Consider the following 20,852-nt stretch of genomic DNA (forward strand, 5'->3'; position numbering starts at 1 on the left):
TTATGTTGAAAGTGTGGTTAAAATACTGATATTTGTTTTAAAACATGGTAACACTATAAACCTGGGCAAGTTTATAAGGCCCAGCCCTGCCTGACGCTGCCCTGCGTGTCTTGCTTTGTTCTGAAGAGCCTCAGGCAAAGTGGGTGCTGATAGCCCTCAGGATTGTCAAGGACCCCAGTACACATGCAGTTGAAATCAGTAGCCTCGAAAACATGTGAGAAATGAATACACACACACACACAAACACACACACACGAATCAGAAGGTCTGATTTTATGTACCTAGAATATAGAGATAACTTATTGAAAAATTGCATAAAATTGTTACATTACAAATCAAGAGCTGGTTGTTTGTGTTGACAAACATGGCCCAGTTTCACTACTGCACATACTGTACGTAACCAATGTTTCTTCTGAAATACGTATTGTTCTCTTTTTTCTTTTTCTCAACTTTTCCTGAATGTTCTCAAGTAACTTTCTGTATTCTTTTTGGTTGCTCTCTTTGCAAACGTCTGTGGTGGTGGCAGGCATGCCGTGGTTCTGCATAGGAGCTTTGACGAACTGTGATGCTGGGAGCTTAGCCCTGCCTTGTCCTCATGTCTGTGTTGACGCCATCTGTGACGCAGTCCCCATGAGTCTCGTCCACATGCTCTAGTCGCATGGCACATGGTCTCCTAAACAGAAAATACTTCATGGGTCAATACCTCAGAGCTGGAAACTCTGGCCTCGTACTTGCTTCTCATTCTCAGGAGAAAATATCTAAATTCTGATCACTGCTTCCCATTACAACAGCAACAAAAAGTCAATAATTTTGTGGATAATACAGTCTGGTTATTTCTGTAGTGAAAATAGTTGGGTTTTCAAAGTTTGGTTTTCCATCTCAGATCTGCCTGTGGAGAATTGGTTTGCGGGCTTTGTTTTTAAGGTGGGTTCCCAGGGACTCGCTGTGTGTTCCCTGATGCCCCCCGTCCTTGCAGACCGAGCCTTCGTCCACTCAAACGTGTGACAGCACGTACCCAGCAGGCGTTGGGGACCCGGGAAGGCTGCGGTGCCCTCAGGAGTGTGTCTTATTTGAGCAGTTATGGCAACTTTATTGGGGTTTTTAATGTCACAGATGATTTAATTTTCTAAAATCATGAAACATTGGCAGTTTCTAACATAAATGTGTTTCTCCTAATCCATCAAAAGGGGCCATATAATATTTTACTACTCACTTCCCCCAGCTTTTGTGGGAATCATATGAAATGAAGACAGGCACTTCTGTGAGACTCAGAGTAGCTGTGGCTCAGTGTTTGCAACGACCAAAACTGCCATGAGCAACCCAGGGCAGGGTCTGGGACGGATGCCTGCCTTTCCTTCGAGAGAGGAGCTCATGTGCGGAATGCACCTCAGTGAAGGTTTTTGTTTTGGTTTGGTTTGGTTTGGTTTGATTTGGTTTGGTTTGTTTGAGATGGAGTCTTGCTCTGTTACCCAGGCTGGAGTGCAGTGGCGTGATCTCGGCTCACCACAACCTCCGCCTCCCAGGTTCAAGCAGTCCTCCGGAGTGCCTCAGCCTCCCAAGTATGCTGGGACTACAGGTGCACGCCACCATGCCTGGCTAATTTTTGTATTTTTAGTAGAGACGGGGTTTCACTATGTTGGCCAGGCTGGTCTCGAACTCCTGACCTTGTGATCTACCTGCCTCGGCCTCCCAGAGTGCTGGGATTACAGGTGTGAGCCACCGCACCTGGCCTTCAGTGAAGGTTTTTATTCCTAGTCAGAACCCTCTCCTGCCAGTGCCCGCTGTGTGAGGTTTATTTTGCTGTGAACATCTGGTAGCATTCTTGTGTAGGGACACTCTCCTTTGCCCCGAGGGCCAGAGAGCCGTGCTCCAAGCGGAGGCTGTTGGTGGGTCCCATGAAGAGCACTGCTTGTTGCCTGGAGTAGTCAAAAGCAGAAGAAGCGTTGGTGTGAAACAGTCCCCGCAAGTCTCAGGAGTCTTGCAGCCACTTAGGTTTCTGTATCTCCCACCTGACTGTGAGCCCCCTCGAGGAAAGGTGCTGTGTCCTGAATTGTGGAAATTTCTAGGGATACAAAGATGAGAACAAGACATAGCCCCCAGCCTCAGGGAGCTTACAGTCCATTAGGAGAGGCAGATGAATTCAGCTCAGATGATCAGATTGTATTAATAACATACCTGGGGGAGTGTGCTGGAGATGGCAGGACCAGCTTATTCGTTCCCATCTCTAAAGAAAGACACACACAGTACGGGGGCCTGGCCTCTTGGTTTGACTGAAGGGGCCTCACCCAGTCAGACTTGAGGGAAGGTGCCCGCGGCAGAGGTAGAGAAAAGCAGGGACACAGTGGGTGACAGGTGTCGGTCCTGGTGGGGTGTCAGTTATGGGGTGGGCCGGTGCGATCTGCTGAGAGGTGAGGGTGGAGAGGGAGCAGAATTCCCCCAAAATGTCAGCAGATATTAAAGAGCCATAAAGGGCAAAATGGCCCAGCCCGACTTGCATTTTTGCAAGCTCTTTGGCGCAGCATGGATGGAGTGCTGGGGCTGTCGGGGTAGGGTGTGGAGATGTGTGGAGATCGTGGTGCTGGGCGGAGCTGTGGGAGTGAAGGCACAGGGCGCTGAGGACCTGGTCTGACTGGCCTTCAAGGAAGGAACCCAGCTGAGGGTGTGTGCCCCGTCTGTTTTTGGGGGACGTGGAAGCCAGGTGGGCTGAGTTGAGCAGCAGGGCCTGGGCCTGGAGGCATGGAAGCCAGGGTGAATAAGGAGGGACAGAGGGTGTGGGAAAAGGCCGAAGACAGCCCACAGAGGAAGGAGCCCAAGGCACCTGGAGGAGAGGCTGGGGTCACAGAGACCGAGGGAGGGTGCAGGTTCAGGGCTGAATGATGGCGTCCATGGTCATCATTCCTCAGAGAGGCCCAGTGAGGCAAGGCCGGGAAGGGCTTAGCAGCCAGAGGGCACCCATAGGCCTCATGCCAGAGGTGGCTCCGTCAGAGGATGAGGGCCAACACCAGACGGTGGCTGAGAACGGAGCTGCTCTGGGCTGGCAGGGTGTGAGGGGCAGGGGTGAGGGGGCAGGGGGTGAGAGGCAGGGGTGAAGCAGGTCAGCAGGAGGGCGCTGCTGTGACAGGAGCTCAGCCTGAAAGAGGCCGAAGCTGTGGGACTCACTGGGCAGAGAATGGAGGGGTGTGGATGAGAGCAGCCTGGGCAGGAACCCCCGCTCCCCTCTCCTGAACTCAGAGGCCCTGAGCAAGTTCCCCAGCCCCTCCATGTCCCAGTTCCCCCATCAGCCAGGTGAGGGTGGCAGTACACACACACGACCACGCAGGACAAACAGGCGCCCCACACAGTTCCCAGCTCACAGCAGACACAGATGCCACTTCCTTCGCCTGTGCCCTCAGAGCCAGCAGACGCTCGTCACAGTCATACTGTCCTGTGCACCCTGTCTCATGGAACCCTCACAGCCACCCTCCGGGGTGACCTTACCCCCGCACTACACTCATGGAAATGGAGTCAACCAGGCCCAGTGACTGAGGGCTGAGCCATCTGTGTTTCAATCCAGAGCACAGGGAGAGTGGAGAAGTCCCAGGGCCGCCCGTAGGGAATGGAGAGGGAGCGTCAGGCTCACCCAGGCTGCGTTTGTTTTGGTGGAGAGCAAGTCACCCGGGATGTGATGAGAGGGTTTCATAAGCAAGCCGGGAAAATGGGATAAAGGGGAGAGAGAACCGTGCCAGCTGTCTCGATGAGAGGACATGATCGTGAGAGGAAAGGGAAAAGAATCATGAGGTTGGAGGTCGCTGGCAAAGAATGGGCGGCCAGAGGTGAGGGTTCCAGTGGTGAGACAGCTCCCACCACCGAGCCCAGGGTGCGACCTCGCACTTGGCTGCTCACGTGGAGTCAGAACTGCAGAGGCCATGGGGTGTGGGCCAGGGTATGGGCGGGCCACTGTCCATCAGATGCAGAGGGGTCAGGAGGGGACCAGCTGCTTTACTGTCTCCACTGAGTGCTTTCTGGTTTCAGAAGTCAGCAGCCGCATCATGTTGCAGGTGTAGGCGAGTCTCCCACTGAGTGGGCTTCCTGCGGGAGAGGGCCCTGGGGGGCGGCAGGGGAGATGAGTCCCTAGCCAGGATGAGAAGCTTGGAGTTCAGAGCCTGGGCACCTAACAGAGCGACTCCACGCTTTGCATTGCAGTACACAGTGTATAGTCAAGCCAGCACCATGAGCATTCCGGTTGCAATGGAGACAGATGGGCCTTTATTTGAAGATGTGCAGATGCTGAGAAAGACAGTGAAGGACGAGGCTCATCAGGTAAAAGTGCACCGAGCTCAGCTGGGCACCCATGACTGATTTGCTTAAGAAATGCACATTTTTGTAGGCGATGTGATTTGCATCAGTGCCTTCTGTTTAAGCTGAAATTAAAACTTAAATTTTGCTAGTCTTATAGGAAACATTGTATCGATAGATCTTAGTGATCAAATTACTAGAAACAGTTTTTAAGGATTAAGTATGTGCCTGAGATGTGTATCTCCATTTACTAACAGCAGTAGTAATCCCAACTCTTAACTGTTCTTTAAATGTTCACTCCAGCAAAATCGAAAGCTTCACAGCCATATCCACCCCTCGCTGTTTTCTTCACAGCCCTCTGGCTTCTGCTTCGACCCAGAGAGGCTCCCTTAGCTCTTCACAGCGGGTGCTAACAACCCCTCTCCCTAGGACACCTCACCCTCCTTGCCCCTCCCCCTGTCCCCTCACCCCCTTGCCCCTCCCCCCTTGCCCCCTCACCCCCCTCGCCCCGTCCCCTTCCCCCCTCACCCCCTTCATCCCCCTCGCTCCTCTGGCCCCCCACCCCTCCCCCCACCCCTCAGCCTTCTCCCCTCGCCCCCCTCATCCCCCTCGCTCCTCTCGCCCCCCCACCCCTCCCCCCACCCCTCAGCCTTCTCCCCTTGCCCCCCTCATCCCCCTCACTCCTCTCGCCCCCCCACCCCTCCCCCTCTCCCCCCTGACCCCCCTCGCCCCCCTCGCCCCCTCCCGGGCACTGTCTTTCAGTGCTTTGGTCACAGGCCACCTCCAAAGAGAGCCTCCGACCACTGTTACTCCTCAGCTGGGCCTGTAGACACTTAGGACAACTGACTCAGTTCCTGCCTGGGTTCAAGGAGCGTTTCAGCTGCCGTGTTTCCCTGAGCGTCCCTCCCTGTTTCAAATGCCTGTAAACTAAAACAGTAGTCCCAAATGGCCTGGGGACATTGGCCTTTCTCACTGAGAAACTTTAACCTCTTTTTGACCAGCGAAAGAATTCCAAAAGACATCCCCTTCTAAAATTCTGAGGTAAGAAGTGAAAGTAGGCGCCCCGCCTGTGGAGTAGCCATTGTTTTACTCCTTTACTGCATTAAATAAAATATGTTGTTTGAATGAATGCCCCCCATTTCTTTTTTACTTCTTGAATGTGACTGCTAGAAGATTCGGAATTAGCACATGGCTGACGCCATATCCCCGGCTCCTTTCCGGAGTTGCACAGGAAAGGGCTCACGGCACCAAGTCCCCACGGCAGCCACGGTCATCGGCCTCTTCTGCCCCTCTAATTCCTCAACTCAGGTTAAGAGCAAAATAGATGACTGAATGCTTTTCTTAGCTCATCAAAGCCTGAAAATACTAGAAATACAGTGGAAAAGCTCACTGAAGACTTGGAATATCAGTAACTAATTTTCTATCTAATCCAGTTGGTTCCATATTCTCCTCACCATGAATGTTCTTAGCAATGAATAGATGTCATCAAAAATATGAAAATCTGTATATATTTCTCTCTTTGTGGGAGTGTTAATGTTCTTCTTGATATTTTTTTTTAACTCAGGAATTTAAGGTTGCCTTTTTATACCATTTTGATTTTGTGGCTTCAAATTTGCTCAAGACTTGTTAAGTTGACCTTGTTACTGCACACAGAAGGAAATCACAGTCGGTGTCTCTTCTGTGAGGGAACCTGCCTGGGAGTTTGTGGCCACGTGTTCATTTTTAAGACACGAGGCTATACACAGTTAAAAAGCCAATTCTTGGCCGGGTGTGGTGGCTCACGCCTGTAATCCCAGCACTTTGGGAGGCCGAGGCAGGCAGATCACCTGTGCTCAGGAGTTTGAAACAAGCCTGGCCAACATGGGGAAACCCCATCTCTACTAAAAAATACAAAAATTAGCCAGGCTTGGTGGCAGGTTCCTGTAATCCCAACTACTTGGGAGGCTGAGGCAGGAGAATCGCTTGAACCTGGGAGGTGGAGGTTGCAGTGAGCCAAGATGGTGCCACTGCACTCCAGCCTGGGCAAGAAAAGCAAAACTCCGTCTCAAAAAAAAAAAAAAAAAAAAAAACCAATTCTTACACATTAAATAGCTTAGGGTTGGGGAATTTTTATTTTTGGTATAGCCTTTGACTTAGGTCAGAATTAAAGCTAGACAAAGAATAAACTAGGTCCAAAATGTGATGTACCTGAAAGGTGTGTGCATATTTGCAATTTAGGTCCTGCTCTGTAGTAGATCAAGAACTTGATCAAGAATGCAAACCAAAATAGCATTCTCTCCTGAGTAAAGCTGCCTTTGAAAGTCAGGCCTAGTATCTGTGTGATATTCGGGGCCCCAGAACGTCCAACTGCTTGGTCTGTCCACTGCCCTTAGAAAGGGGCACGTCCCCTCCTGGGAGGGTTACCTTATACAGTGACAGGAAGGAACCAGTCCTATGGCCATCCACGTGTCTACTTGTAAATACACACACAGGCAGGACAGTTCTTGGAGAACTCCTGTAGCATGTCTGCTTCCTTGTTTTCACAACTCTTGAAATTGTATTCTGTCACCGGGTTTCCTGTGTGACTGATATTCTTACAACAGTGATTCCCTCACCTCATCCTTAGATCTCTATGAATTATGTTCCTGAGTCAGAAGACTCAGAAGAGTCATTGGGATGTCTGTTTTCCCCAGATTAACGTGCTCTCCATTAGAATCTCAGCAGGCTTTTTATCCTCAAGAAGTTGAGAAAGCTAATTCTAAAATTCACATGGAAATGCAAAGGATCTAGAGTAGCCAAAACAACTGTGAAAAAGAACAAAGTTGGAAGACTAATAATACTATGCAATTCCAAGACTTCTTATAGTTTTTGTTTGTGTTTGGAGACAGGGTCTCACTGTGTCACCCAGGCTGGAGTGCAGTGGTGTGATCACAGCACACTGCAGCCTCAACCTCCTGGGCTCAGGCGATCCTTCTACCTCAGCCTCCTGCAGTGCTGAGATTACAGGTGTGAGGACCTGTGCCTGGCCTGACTCCTTGTAGATTTCTGTGGATCAGTTGAATCAATTGAATTCAGTTGAATTCAACCTATCCAGATGAAGGTATTTATGAAGTGCAGTCTCTAGGTGTAATATTTGAAATGATAAATTCTGCTTTTTTTTTTTTTTTTTTTTTTTTTTTTTTTGAGACAGGGTCTTGCTCTGATACCCAGGCTGGAATGCAGTGGCACAATCTTGGCTCACTGCAGCCTCGGCCTCCTGGACTCAAGCAATCCGCCCACTTCAGCCTCCCAAGCAGCAGTGACTACCGGCACCACCACACTCAGCTGATTTTTGTATTTTTAGCAGAGATGGAGTTTTAACATGTTGGCTAGGCTGGTCTCAAACTCCTGGTCTCAAGTGATCTGCCTGCCTTGGCCTCCCAAAGTGCTGGGATTATGGGCATGAGCCACCGCGCCCAGCCAATAAACTTTTCTTAAGTTGAAAAATGTTTGGAGTCGTTTTCTGGAAATTCTGAAAGCACTATGGTTAAAGCAAAAAGAAGGTACCAATTCAAGTCTGCAGTGAGCTATGATCGCACCACTGCCCTCCAGCCTGGGTGACAGAGCCAGACTCGGACTCTGAAAATTAAAAAAAAAAAGGTACCGGGATGCAGGAAAAACGTGCACAATTTGGTGACCAAATTGACGTAAGAAATGATAGCTGAAAATTAAGCTTTTTTGGTTTTTATATATAGTCATTTGATTATATTCAGTGCCCTTTTAATTTTATTTTCAGCTAACTTTATTTTTCCAAAATAATTTCACATTTCTTTGAGATGATGTGAGTGTTGGGTAGGGAGAGGTGTGAGAGGTAGTTGAAGGAATAGCTGGAGAGTGGGAAGCAGGCTCTGATGCTGATGGATGGAGTAGGCTGGATTTTTGTGGAGAAATTCAACCATGTATCTACCTATCCTTTATTTACATTTCCTTCAAGAAACTAGTATAACCCTATACAGAACATTCAAAGAAAACTAGCAAATATCATGTGAATAACATTTATATTATAGACATTTTAAATGTTTGCAATTCTCATTTTTAACAGTTGGTCGGGAGAAAAGCAGTGTCAACCACGCAAGTAAGGAAGGTGTAGAGAGACGGAAGGTGGGCAGTGCAGGCTCTCATTACTCAACGTGTAGAGCACATTGAAGGCCTGTTCTCCAGGAGAAGAATTGACGAGTTAACGTGGACATGAAGTATTTTCCCTTTTGTCCATGTCATTCCAGATTGTGATGGTCAAAACAAAGAAAGAAATTTGGCAGCTGGGAGGCCGGGCACAATGGCAGATGCCTGTAATCCCAGCACTTTGGGAGGCCGAGGCGGGCAGATCACCTGAGGTCAGGAGTTCGAGACCAGCCTGACCAACATGGTGAAACCCCATCTCTACTAAATAACAAAAAATTAGCCGGACGTGGTGGCAGGCACCTGTAATCCCAGCTACTTGGGAGGCTGAGGCAGGAGAATCGCTTGAACCCAGGAGGTGGAGGTTGCAGTGAGCCGAGGTTGCACCATTGCACTCCAGCCTGGGTGACAGAGCGAGACTCTGTGTCAAAAATAAATATAAAATAATTTTTAAAAAGAAAGAAATTTGGTGGCTGGGCACCATGGCTCACACCTGTAATCCCAACACTTTGGGAGGCTGAGGCAGGAGAATTGCTCGAAGCCAGGAGTTTGAGACCAGCCTGGGCAACACAGCAAGACCTCATCTCTAGAAAAAGAAAAAAAAAAAAAATAGCCAGGCATGTGGTGCGTGCCTGTAGTCCTAGCTACTCAGGAGACTGAGGCAGGAGGATCCCTGAAGCCCAGGAGTTGGAGTCTGCAGTGAGCTGTAATCATGCCACTGCATTCCAGCCTGGGTGACAGAGACCCTGTCTCTAATAAAAATAAAAAAAAAATTTTAAAGAAATTTGGTCCCTTAAGAAATGTTGATTATTTCTATCTGAAATTAAGTAGTAAAGTTTGAAGTTACACCTTTATAAGAGGAAGGAAACTTGCATAGCCATGTATGCCCAATGCCTGGTGTGCTTTCAGCATTTACGGTTTACATTGAGCCTTCCGGGTCTGCCCGTGGGCTGCAGAAGAGAGGCCACCTCTCTCTGACTTGTGTCTCCTGTGGTCCGCTCCGCCCCTGCCAGCATGTTCACCTGCACATCCCCTCTGCCAGGCCGTTCATCAGCCTGCCATCTGCATGCTGTCTTATTCTCCCTGCCTGCTGCTGCTCTCATTTTTTTGCCTTGTGGATGGTAAAATTATTCTCTGCTTTACACATCAATTTAAAATGTCTAAGCAGAAAGGCCCAGATATATCCACCGGTTTTCTGTCCTTTCAGAAGCTCTGGGGTCATGTTTGTGTTCTCAGTTTGCATTCACTGGTTCCAGCTCCAAGCTTTTTACTGTTGCCTTTTTCTATGAATATGTTTCTTCTCTTTGGAGTGCCTATTTCAGCTGTAATTACATATTTCAAGTATATAAAAATCTTGGTTTTGTTTTGCTTCACTTTGTTTTACAGATCAACATAGAATGGGCATAAAATTCAGGGTAGAATTTCACCTCTGGGTTGAAGGTAGACATGCTTTACATCCTCACACGTTAACACGCTCTTACAAGTACCGTGATGGGTGAGGGGACCGTGACCTTCACCATCTCCAGAGATGGATGATTCTCCTAAAACCCTCACGCTGGTTTCCAGGGAAACAAGAAACCAAAAGTCCTGCCCCTACCATGAGTGAATGTTAATATTCAAATAACATTTCTAGAAATAATCCTAAAGTGATGTGACAAAATTCTTTTTAAACCTTGACATTATTGCTGTTTTCATCGGTAAATTTGCAAAGAACCCTGCTGAGAAACACTTAGCAAAAATTTGAACTTTACATTCAGGACTTCTGCAGGTCCTTGAATTTTTCATTAAAGCGAAGGAAAATGTATTTTACATCCATGTCAAAATCAGACATCTGGAATTTGTAAGGCGTTTTTACGCTTACGTTCTTTTTGTTGTCAAAAGACTGACTTAAATTTTGTCTGCTAGACATACCACAAAAGTAACTTAGTCTTTTTCAATACACTGAACAAAAAGGAAGACTTAATTTTGGTGAAGAAACTTTATCCAGAAAAGTTTCTAACTAATTGGCAGTCAGTCTTCTGGCATATACATCATGTTTGGGTGATTTAGATGGTTTATTGTTTTGTTTCAGAATATTGGTATTAACACAGTGTCTCTACTTTTAAACTGAATTATGTGTTTATTCATGGAAATGGATGCTTTTGATATGTAAACTCTCCAAATTAAGTTTCCCTTTTATTGCAGATACAGTTATCCAAATCCTCATGCAAAAATGGGATTCACTTAATTTTTTTTTAAGTGAAACCAAAATTTCCTAGACTTTAGAAAGACAATGGATTGGAGAAGAGAGTATATATTTTTTTCAATTTGATAGAAGTTTGAAATCCAATTTAAATATGTTTTTTATTCATTCTTTTTCTTTACCTCCAAGGAAATTTCTACATCTTTTTTTTTTTTGAGATGGAGTCTGGAGGCCCTGTCACCCAGGCTGGACTGCAGTGGTGCAATCTCGGCTCACTGCAACCTCCACCTCACGGGTTCAAGCGATTCTCCTGCCCCAGCCTTTCAAGTAGCTGGGATTACAGGCGCGCGCCACTACACCCATCTGATTTTTGTATTTTTAGTAGAGACGGGGTTTCACTATGTTGGTCAGGCTGATCTTGACCTCTTGACCTCGTGATCCGTCCGCCTCGGCCTCCCAAAGTGCTGGGATTACAGGCATGAGCCACCGCACCCAGCCAGAAATTTCTGCTTCTTGAAATGCTTCTGTAGGGGACATGCCCATGAAATGGCTTTAATGACATTTATGAAATAGGAGGTTACTTAGGAAATTTACTAAAATGCATGAATTCTGCAAATTAGAGGTACTGAGTCCTTTGTACAAGCACTGCACATTTCAGAAGACCAGAATGCCAGTATTGAACACACAGGTCCTCAAACGAGTCACGATTTTTAGTAGCAAGACATTTTTGGCAAATTTCCATGATAAGACCTACGCCGTTTCCCTGTGGCCAGGGTGCCGCCAGCGAGTGGGTGAGGCACACGTGCCTCGCGGTTATCCTTTGACTTCCACCTCAGAAGTAAGCTTGCTTTTCAGATAGCTTAGTTTGTAGCCAACGCCATTGCATTTCTAATTCCAGGCACAGAAAGATCCGAAGAAGGACCGTCCTCTTGCACGCCGCAAGTCCGAGCTGCCTCAGGACCCCCACACCAAGAAAGCCTTGGAAGCTCACTGCAGGGCCGATGAGCTGGCCTCCCAGGACGGCCGCTAGCCTCCGGGGCGCCGCGTCGGGGCCGGGCCCGCCAGTTCTTTTCCGGATTCTGTAGAAAATACATACTTCCTGTGCCATACCAATCAGTTACACTCAAAGCTTTCTTGGACCCCGTTCCGTAGGCAATAACGTGCGTCCGCCTCAGCGCGAGATTAGGAGTTCAAACAATGGTGACTTCCCAGAGCCCGCTGGCAGAGCCGCGGGTTGACGACGGTGTCCTCGCAGTGTCGCCGCCACCCCAGCGTAGTCCAAGTCAGACTATTTCACAAAGTCAGAGCGATAGGAAAGCACCCTGCCCTTCATCTTCATGTTCTCCCAAATGGAACTTAGGATCTTTTAACATAGGTGGTTCTGTGATAACATCAGTGTTTTCCAAATCAAAGGAACGCTTTAAAAAATAGGACCTATTTTTTAAGACTTTACAGCCTTTGAAATGGTTTCCACGTGATTGTTACGCCAGCAGTTCTCGTTTTGTTTGTTTTTCAATCTCAGTGAAATGGCTCTTTGCTTTCGAGTTCTCACGCAACGTACTGGGCAAATGACAATCCTCAGCCGCTGGTATTTTCTAAGGGGTCTCTTCACTTTGATGAGTGACATGAACACCGTGTCTCCTTCTCTTGTGTGTACCTAAAGCCATATTTCCAAGTCTGTGGTACTCCAGGATTCCAGGAGTAAGCCTGTAGAAGAGATTTATTTTAAAAGAGATTGCTCTGAAATTTATCTTAAAAGAGCTTGCTCTGTCTACCTTGACAGAAATTGGAGTTTTAAAATTATGTGTTAATATTTTTATTTGCAGATTTCGTTTCCGTCAACTTAAACATTGTTGCCCTTCAACAAGGCTCTTGAATTAATAAAATTATAGTCTCTAAGAATTCCACATTTTATGGAAAGTTAGAGCAAAATCATTTTGAGTTAAGCCAGTTCTTAGCCTAATGCAAACTGCAGCGCCTTTAAGCATAAAGTAACACAACAGCATTGCACGGGGCCGGCACTGCCGCTGCCTTCACTGAAGGCTGCAGTGCTGTTCTGAGAGCTTGGAGGAGGCACCAGCGAGGATGACGTTTAGTGGAGCTCTTTCTGTTGAAAAGAGCTCACGTTATCAACACCTTGTAAGGAAAATACAGTGTCTGAGTTTTCATCGGTCTTCACATGCTGCTATATATTCCACAGAGTTCCTTGCATGTACTGAGCTTTTGTTTTAGATGGAATAGCACAAGGAGAAAAATCTTTAAACTTAGTGCTTTGTCTATTCTTTATTTCTCTCAGGGTGGCCAGTATTTTGACTTATTTATCCTGCTTGAAAGCTACTTGAGATGTGTACTGCTATTCTAAACACGTGATCTAGTTTCTTTCATCTCTGGCATAAGATTATATAACTTAATGTTAAGTGTCTTGAGGCATAAAAGACAAAATGTGGCTTATTTTAGGATCTGTTTTTTCATCGAGGTCTCGGGTATCCTTTCAAAGATAGTGAGAAGCAGACACTGCTCCTTGTGCAGCTCTGGTACCTCCTGCCCACTGCTGTCACTTCAAGCCACTGGCAATGCTTCTGTCCTCGTGTCTTGGAGGAAAATCACCTGGGGGGAGGGGACTTCTTGTGGTAAGAGCAAGTGCAGGTATGAAATGCGAAGATTGCCCCAGCTAAAAGTGGACAAGTCCGCTTTGTGAGATGAATACTTCCTGAGAAACTTGACAAGTATCTCTCCATTTTACCATTATGAAAACTATCATTAAAAAAAACAGTTTAGATGCCTTCTCCTTTTGAGGGAAAAAGGGTGCTTTTTATTGTATAAAGCAGCGTCTTATGTATTTTGATATACCATTGTTTGAACTTCCGTCTTTAGCTGATAGATTCTCAAATATCCTTGATTTTGGATGTTCAGTATGTTTGTGAGAGAGGTTTCTGGGAAGACTCTCTTTTTGCCCTCGGGAAAAAGCAAAATATCAATGTTTGGGTGACTGTGTAAAGCTCAGTGTGTAAGAACATCTTTTTGTCTAGGTTTTCTTTCTGCTCTTTATTGAAGACAAACACTCACCAAAAAGAAAAATAAAAGTTTTCAGAGAAACTAATTTTCTTTGGCAAGAGTATTACTTAATATTTTGGCCTCCTAAAGTTTCCCTAGTTAGTACTCGGACTCCTGTGCTAATTGTCAGCTTACATATCATTGTATAGAGACTGTTTATTCTGTACCAAACTGATTTCAAAAGTACTACATTGAAAATAAACCGGTGACTGTTTTTCTTCATAAAGTTCTGCGTTTGGCATCTTCACTCTTTCCAAAATGTATCTGTACATCAGAAATGTCACTATTCCAAGTGTCTTTTTAGTGTGGCTTTAGTATGGCTTCCTTTTAATATTGTACATACATTGTATCTTTGTTTTATGGTAATAAGTAATAAAAATGTAGACTTCATATTTTGTACAAAATGTCCTATGTACAGAATAAAAAAGTTCATAGAAACAGCAAATATAGGTAAGTGGCACAATTATTTTTCTTTAGAAAATATCTGTAACTTTATGCATTAGTGAAATGTTAAGTACCGACATATTTTTTAACATTTTGTAATTCAAAACTTTTTGTTTTGACATTGTTTATGAAGAGAAACTTCATACACTTGCCATTTAATATGCTCTTTTATCTAATTTTCAAAAACTCTAAAAAACGGTGTATCATATGGACTAAATAAAGAACATGTGAATTTTATTGCTCATCATGAAACTAAATTTAGCCATGGTGTTGAGCAAGCTGGCTCTGACGTTATCGGGTTCCCGTTAGGTCAGGGCCGCCCACACACAGGGACGCTGACTGCAGAGGGGCTGGCCATCTCCATCCAGCCCGCCTGGAGCGCTGGCTGCGCCAGATGCTAGCCACAGCTGTTCAAAGCTAAGTCTATCCACTGATTTTTTTACTTACTTAGTGGAAAAGGCAGTGTGACTTTTTATAGACCGCCTCTTGGTTTGGTTTGGGTTTTGGGGCTTTTTTTGAGTAAGAAAAGGTGAATCAATACAATTTATAGAAATGAAAGTCTTGAAAATAGGGAATTGCTGAAAGTATGAATTTAGGATCCTAGTTCGCCCACCTCCTCCTCAGTGGAGAGATCATTATCCTCGCTGATGCTCTTGCGAGAAGCCCATGGAAACAGGACTAAAGTGTTATCTGCTCGTGTCGTGGTTATAACCTCACCTCTCCATAGCTGCGTGTGGTCAGCACGCCGGCTGGCGTGGGAGGGCAAGCTCTGTGCTTAGCTTCCTTCTCTACCCAGTGGCGTCTGTGCTCCCTTCGCACTGACAGAGGTGCAGACGCCGTCACTCTGCAGCTGGGGGCACGTGGACGAGGCTGAGACCCAGGCAGAGTGTGGCCTTCGCCCAAGGGTCCGGTAACTTTGCTGGCTGTTTCGAAGAACCGCACATGCCCCACTTCCACCTAAAAGTGGACTCGCCAGCCAGAAGACTTCACATCCTGCACCGCTACTCACGTCGATGTTTCCGCAGACTAGATGCTCGCCCGCTGCGGTCCTTATCCCTCATCTTAAAATTGGAGGAAACCTGGTGTTTAGTAACTTCCTACAGCACGAGAGTTCGAGAGGACTCACTCACAGAGGCATGCTGCGATTTCAGCCCAGCTGCATGCTGCTGCTATTTTGGGGTAGCAAGAAGCATAAAGGCAAAACTGTACTGGCTTCGTGTCTCCTTCCGTGAGGGTTGGCAGCACCCATCAGCAGTAATGACAAGGAGAACTCATATTTCTTAGCACTGCCTTTATGCCAGGAGCTGTGGTGGGTGCCTCATTTCCCTGGGTTAATTTACTTAGTTCTCACAACCCACCAAATAATTTACTACTATTATCCTCATTCACAAATGAGGAAACTGAGGCACACAAAGGTGAAGTCACTTGACCGAGGTCACACAAATATTGAGTGGAGCCAGGTTTCGACCCAAGCAGTGTGGCCTGGGGTCCAAGCCCCGACCGTCATGTTACATGGTGGAAATGCCTTCTAGATGGGCAGCATCATGGGTGACGGTGAACACAGGTGAGGGCCTGGGGACATGCCCGCAGCACCACGCCAGGCCATAAGGAACACACCCAGGTGGACAGTGTGAAGTTACGGTATTGTCAACCTAAAGGAAGAAACTGAGACAAATTAATATAGGGAGAGGCCAGGCCCCACGGCTCATGTCGGCAATCCCAGCTACTCAGGAGGCTGAGGTGGGAGGATCACTTGAGCCCAACAGGTTGAGACTGCAGTGAGCCGTCATCTCACTACTGCATGCCAGCCTGGGCGACAGAGCAACACCTTGTCTCAAAAAGAAAATACAGGGAGAGAGCTTATTTGGGCCAAGGTTGAGAGCTGCGGCCTAGGAAACACTTCCAAGTTGCCTTGAGAAATGCTCTGGGGGAGAAAAAGAGAGGCTTCTGCATTTAAAGGAAAAAGGACGGATCAGGAAAGGGGCAATTACTCAAGTTGTTTTTCAGGAGTTCTCATTGGTTGACAGAAACACTTGGTTAGTTCTCATAGGTTGACAGAAACACTTGGTGAATGATTGGCTATACATTGTTGAACTACAGGCCACGAGTTACCGTGTCCAACGTGGCATTTTTAGCTACATGGCGTAGCTATTGGTACCAGTCTGGAACCCACACAGCAGGTTTCAGGAGACGATCTCCCAAGGCAGGAGGGGGAGTGGGGCGTGGCTGCTGTCTCATTCCAGTGCCTCTGGGCCTGATCGCTGAAAGGGGGCTCACCTTCCTCAGGTAAAAAGTGTTTCCTTCTTATCCTGAACTCCAGGTGAAACCCTTGCATCTGCATTCACCACCACTTGACACAGGAGAACCCCGGGCCCTGCAAGGTCGAGGGGTGACCACGGTCATGGGCCCCAGGGTCTGTCCTTCATGACCATTGCCCCATGGAGACACCCAGGGCCGCCCGGAGCCCATGCTCAGCCCCGATGTTGCATTGGGGAAGCAGCCCCTATAGAGACAGTGTCAAGGGATAGCTGTGACAGCTGTGGGCTCTGATGGTGCACTTGACCCCAGAACCAGAAGAGCTTGATTCCAGTCCAGTGGCTCCCGTTCCTCGGAGGCTATTGTTTTTTTGTTTTGTTTCGTCTTGTTTTGTTTTTGAGACAGAGTCTCACTGTGTCGCCCAGGCTGGAGTGCAATGGCGCGACCTCAGCTCATTGCAACCTCTGCCTCCTGGGTTTAAGCAGTTCTCCTGCCTCGGCCTCCGGACTAGCTGGGATTACGGGCGCCCACCACCACACTCAGCTAATTTTATATTTTTAGTAGAGACGGGGTTTCACCATGTTGGCCAGGCTGGTCTCAAACTCCTGACCTCAGGTGATCTGCCCGCCTTGGCCTCCCAAAGTGCTGGGATTACAGGCGTGAGCCACCACGCCCAGCCTGAGGCTTTTGTTTTTATGTAAGTTTAGATTTTATAAAACTTTTTTTTTTTTTTTGAAACGGAGTCTCACTCGGTTTCCCAGGCTGGAGTGCAGTGGCGCGATCTTGACTCCTCACAACCTCCGCCTCCCAGGTTCAAGTGATTCTCCTGTCTCAGCGTACCAGGGAGCTGAGATTACAGGCCTGTGCCACCACACCCAGCTGATTTTTGTACATTTAGTAGAGGTGGGGTTTCGCCATGTTGGCCAGGCTGGTCTCCAACTTATGACCCCGTGATCCTCGTGCCTCAGCCTCCCAAAGTGCTGGGATTACAGGTGTGAGCCACCACGTCCAGCCTGAGGCTTTTGTTTTTAGGTAAGTTTAGATTTTATAAAACGTCAGCATTTTTTTAAACAAACGTGCTAAATTTCAGCATATTTGGAGACCACCAACACATTAGCCTCTGTTCTCATTATATTACTAATGTGAACCTATAAAATTATCAAAAATTCAGCTCTTATTTAACATGTAGTTTTATATAAGATTTCATTTGGAGGAAAAAAAATGGATTCTACTGTCAAAAAGTTTGAAATGTACTAAGCTTAATTCAGTTCCTTTTTTAGAGACAGGAATAGACCTAGAGGTGCAGAGATGGGCCCAAACTGACTGGAAGCCAAGTGCCCCCTACTCTCATAAGACTTTCTGCTTCGTATGAAAAGCATGATGTAAATTCCACAGAACTTGGGGGTGGGGGTGGGGGCAGGGGCCACATAAAAACTCCATAATCTCTAGAATTCCTATTTTCCTACTTACAGGTCTTACTGGTCATGTCTGGTGTAGGGTGGTTGCTCTTGAGGGGCTTTTAGAAATACACAGCTAAGGGCACAGCAGGGGAGCCCTGATTTTTAACAAATCCAGAATTGTATTTAAAAAAAAATACACAGGTAAATAAACAAGCTGGGGCTGGCCCAGGTGTACTGATTTGTGTACTTTTATAGGATAATATATAACAAATTGATTACTGGCCAATCCAAGAGGGGTTTTTGTTTATGTTTTGGGGCCTTTGTTTTTAGAGATGGCTTCTTGTTGCCCAGGCTAGCCTCAGACTCCTGGACTCAAGCGATCCTCCTCCCAAGTAGCTGGGACCACAGGCCTGTGCCACCACACCTGGCAATCCAAGAGTTTTTTGACCTATCTTCTTAATTTCTGTAAAAGCAATCAGTAACAGATACTGTTGGTGAACGAATACGCAGCACAGCTGTGATGGAAAAAGAATAGTGGAGGGGGAATGAGGAGAACCAGTGCTCAGGAGCCCCAGAGATGCTAAATGGGCACTTTACAGCCAACAGCGCTGCTCAGGTGCTTCTGCCTCCCAGAAGTGTCTCTCTCACACACACACACACACACCTGGCCACCCCCAAATCAGAATATGGATCAGAGGGGGTGCCAAGCAAGGGGAGGATTAGGCTGGATCCTGGCGCTGAAGCATAACATTGAGAAGCCAAAGGCTGCCATTCTCCCCTGCTCCTCTCTCCCTCCCTTTCTCAGGTGTGGTGGCCTCATCCATCTTCATTTCTGCCTCCAAAACAAGGCTCCCTTCCTGCTGGCGAGCCCCCTGCTGACTCTCCCTTGGGTTCCCCTCTGTGCGCTGCCCTGAGCCGGAGCTTCCATGTCTAATGCAACGCAGGTGAGCCCGTCCGCCAGGTACTTCTTGGGTGTTTAGGTGCCTGTTGAAAATGGGTCCTCAATTGGCCGGGCGCGGTGGCTCACGCCTGTAATCCCAGCACTTTGGGAGGCCAAGGCGGGCAGATCACGAGGTCAGGAGATCGAGACCATCCTGGCTAACACGGTGAAACCCCGTCTCTACTAAAAATACAAAAAATTAGCCGGGCGTGGTGGCGGGCGCCTGTAGTCCCAGCTACTCTGGAGGCTGAGGCAGGAGAACGGCGTGAACCCGGGAGGCGGAGCTTGCAGTGAGCCGAGATGGCACCACTACACTCCAGCCTGGGCGACAGAGTGAGACTCCGTCTCAAAAAAAAAAAAAAGAAAAAAGAAAATGGGTCCTCAATCAAAGAGTGACCCCCAGAGTGAGCGCCATGCCTGAGGCTTAGAGCAGGGTCACCTCCTCCTTTCAAACAGGAATCCATGCTGAGGCTGGAGCCTCTTTAGACCCACGTGGCCCCACAGCCCACAGAACCAAGGCTGACCCCAAGGCTTGAGCTAAAGCAAACAGTCACGTATATCACGTGTTGCTATCAGATGACTTGTGAGAAGCTGCCTTGTTTCCAGTGCTATCAGAGCCCAGGTGATTCTCTAGCAAATGCTTTGCCGGGAAACCTGGAGGTTTCTTCTTTCGGGATTGCTTCTTTGTGAGTTTCAAACAGAGTAAAATAAAAAGTCTGCCACAGAAAATTGACATCATAATTAAAGGCCCAGAGGTCGGCGTGAGACTGGCATGAGGGGCAGAGGAAGGACATGGGGCCCACCCGGAGTCTCCGACCACCCCCAGGCTCAAGAGTTCCCTCTAAGGACTCACGGAAGTGAGTAAAGCTGTCGGACACACGGCTACAATTATGAGAGTGAACGGACACTGATGAAAATCAGCAACAGGACAAGATGCACAAGGCAGGGCCATCCAGGAGATAGCGGGCTCTGCTCAGAGCTGCCAGCCGTCCTCTCCCCGTGGAGCCCTGCGGCGCGCTGGCTTCTCCTGGTGACGGTGTGCACCAGCTCGCATGGAGTATCGCCAACCAGGGAAGCTCGCCCGAGCCTTGGCGTCCACGGTTTTACTGGTTAATCATGTGTACATGGTGGCCTCAGTGTCCAGCCCCTCCAGAGGTGGGGCCATCCTGTGTGGCCCAAGACCCCCAGCATAAATCACGTTTGCCTAGACTGTCCAGCAGGGCCCAAGGCCCCCAGCTAAACAAAGCCACTCTCACCAGGCACAGCATGCCAAGGGCCTCTCGGCTACTGCAAAGCTGGAGAAAAGGCCAGACTTCTCTTTGGACAAGGTTGAACCTTTACTGAACAGCTGTCCTCCCCACAAGAGGAACTAGAGCACAGAGGGGCTCATCTGCTGGGCCAAGGTAGCTAAGGGCAATGTGAGGGTCTCACAGTCAACCCAGGACCTCCCTAACTCAAAGCTCTTCCCTAACTCAAAGCTCTTCCCGCTACACAGCAAGAAGAAGGGACTTCCCAGCTAAATGGTGACATCTGCTTTCCACTGAATCTGAGAAAGGAGAAGCTTCCAGAATGAGACTAAATAATTTGCAGAGGAGAAGGAACAGAACTTGCCTTCAGAATGTGGACCACTCCCCGTAACTCAGAGACAAAACAATCCCATACCTTGAAGTAGCTTGGAGATGAGCTTTATTTTATATCAACATTAATACATATGGGTATACCTAGCTTTATTTCCCCCCTCAACTTAGAGTCTGAATGTGTGGTAAGCATGTTCATCGCTGGATAAGCATCTGGTATGGTCTAATCGGCAATAAGTAGGGGAGTGGGGGCCGGGCGCCATGGCTCACACCTGTAATCCCAGCACTTCAGGAAGCCGAGGTGGGCGGATCACTTCAGGTTAAGAGTTTGAGACCATCCTGGCCAACACGGTGGTGAAACCCGGTCTCTACTAAAAATACAAAAAAATTAGCCAGGTGTGGTGGCAGGAGCCTGTAATCCCAGCTACTCGGGAGGCTGAGGCAGGAGAATCGCTTGAACCCGGGAGGCAGAGGTTCAGAGGTTGCGGTGAGGTGAGATTGCACCATTGCACTCCAGCCTGGCAACAGAGCAAGAGTCCGTCTCAAAAAAAAAAAAAAAAAAATAGGTGTGGTGGTGCACGCCTGTA

The 20,852-nt window shown here is 47.6% G+C and overlaps 1 protein-coding gene across 28 annotated transcripts in view, besides 3 other annotated features; it reads left to right on the forward strand.

The window, feature by feature from the left end:
• Positions 1 to 14,344, forward strand: part of PPP2R5C (protein phosphatase 2 regulatory subunit B'gamma) — a 167,420-nt gene extending 153,076 nt beyond the window's left edge. For 13 of the 28 annotated variants that reach the window (XM_005267819.2, XM_005267827.2, XM_047431541.1 and 10 more), the window contains 2 exons: positions 4,183 to 4,299; positions 11,493 to 14,344. In XM_005267819.2, the coding sequence (XP_005267876.1) occupies positions 4,183 to 4,299; positions 11,493 to 11,624 (249 nt within the window). In that variant the 3' untranslated portion in view covers positions 11,625 to 14,344. The remainder of the gene's footprint in view (positions 1 to 4,182; positions 4,300 to 11,492) is intronic. The other 15 variants (XM_005267824.2, XM_047431540.1, NM_001352912.1 and 12 more) reach the window with 3 other exon arrangements.
• Positions 3,522 to 4,177: an enhancer, noted in NCBI's record as "NANOG-H3K4me1 hESC enhancer chr14:102383507-102384162 (GRCh37/hg19 assembly coordinates)". NCBI's record gives its function as "activates a minimal SCP1, AML or CMV promoter by ChIP-STARR-seq in naive H9 embryonic stem cells {active_cell/tissue: H9 hESC(naive)}" and the evidence as "EXISTENCE:reporter gene assay evidence [ECO:0000049][PMID:30033119]".
• Positions 14,441 to 14,941: an enhancer, noted in NCBI's record as "H3K4me1 hESC enhancer chr14:102394426-102394926 (GRCh37/hg19 assembly coordinates)". NCBI's record gives its function as "activates a minimal SCP1, AML or CMV promoter by ChIP-STARR-seq in naive H9 embryonic stem cells {active_cell/tissue: H9 hESC(naive)}" and the evidence as "EXISTENCE:reporter gene assay evidence [ECO:0000049][PMID:30033119]".
• Positions 14,942 to 15,442: an enhancer, noted in NCBI's record as "H3K4me1 hESC enhancer chr14:102394927-102395427 (GRCh37/hg19 assembly coordinates)". NCBI's record gives its function as "activates a minimal SCP1, AML or CMV promoter by ChIP-STARR-seq in naive H9 embryonic stem cells {active_cell/tissue: H9 hESC(naive)}" and the evidence as "EXISTENCE:reporter gene assay evidence [ECO:0000049][PMID:30033119]".

Source organism: Homo sapiens, chromosome 14 (assembly GCF_000001405.40).
Source record: "Homo sapiens chromosome 14, GRCh38.p14 Primary Assembly".
NCBI lineage: Eukaryota > Metazoa > Chordata > Mammalia > Primates > Hominidae > Homo > Homo sapiens.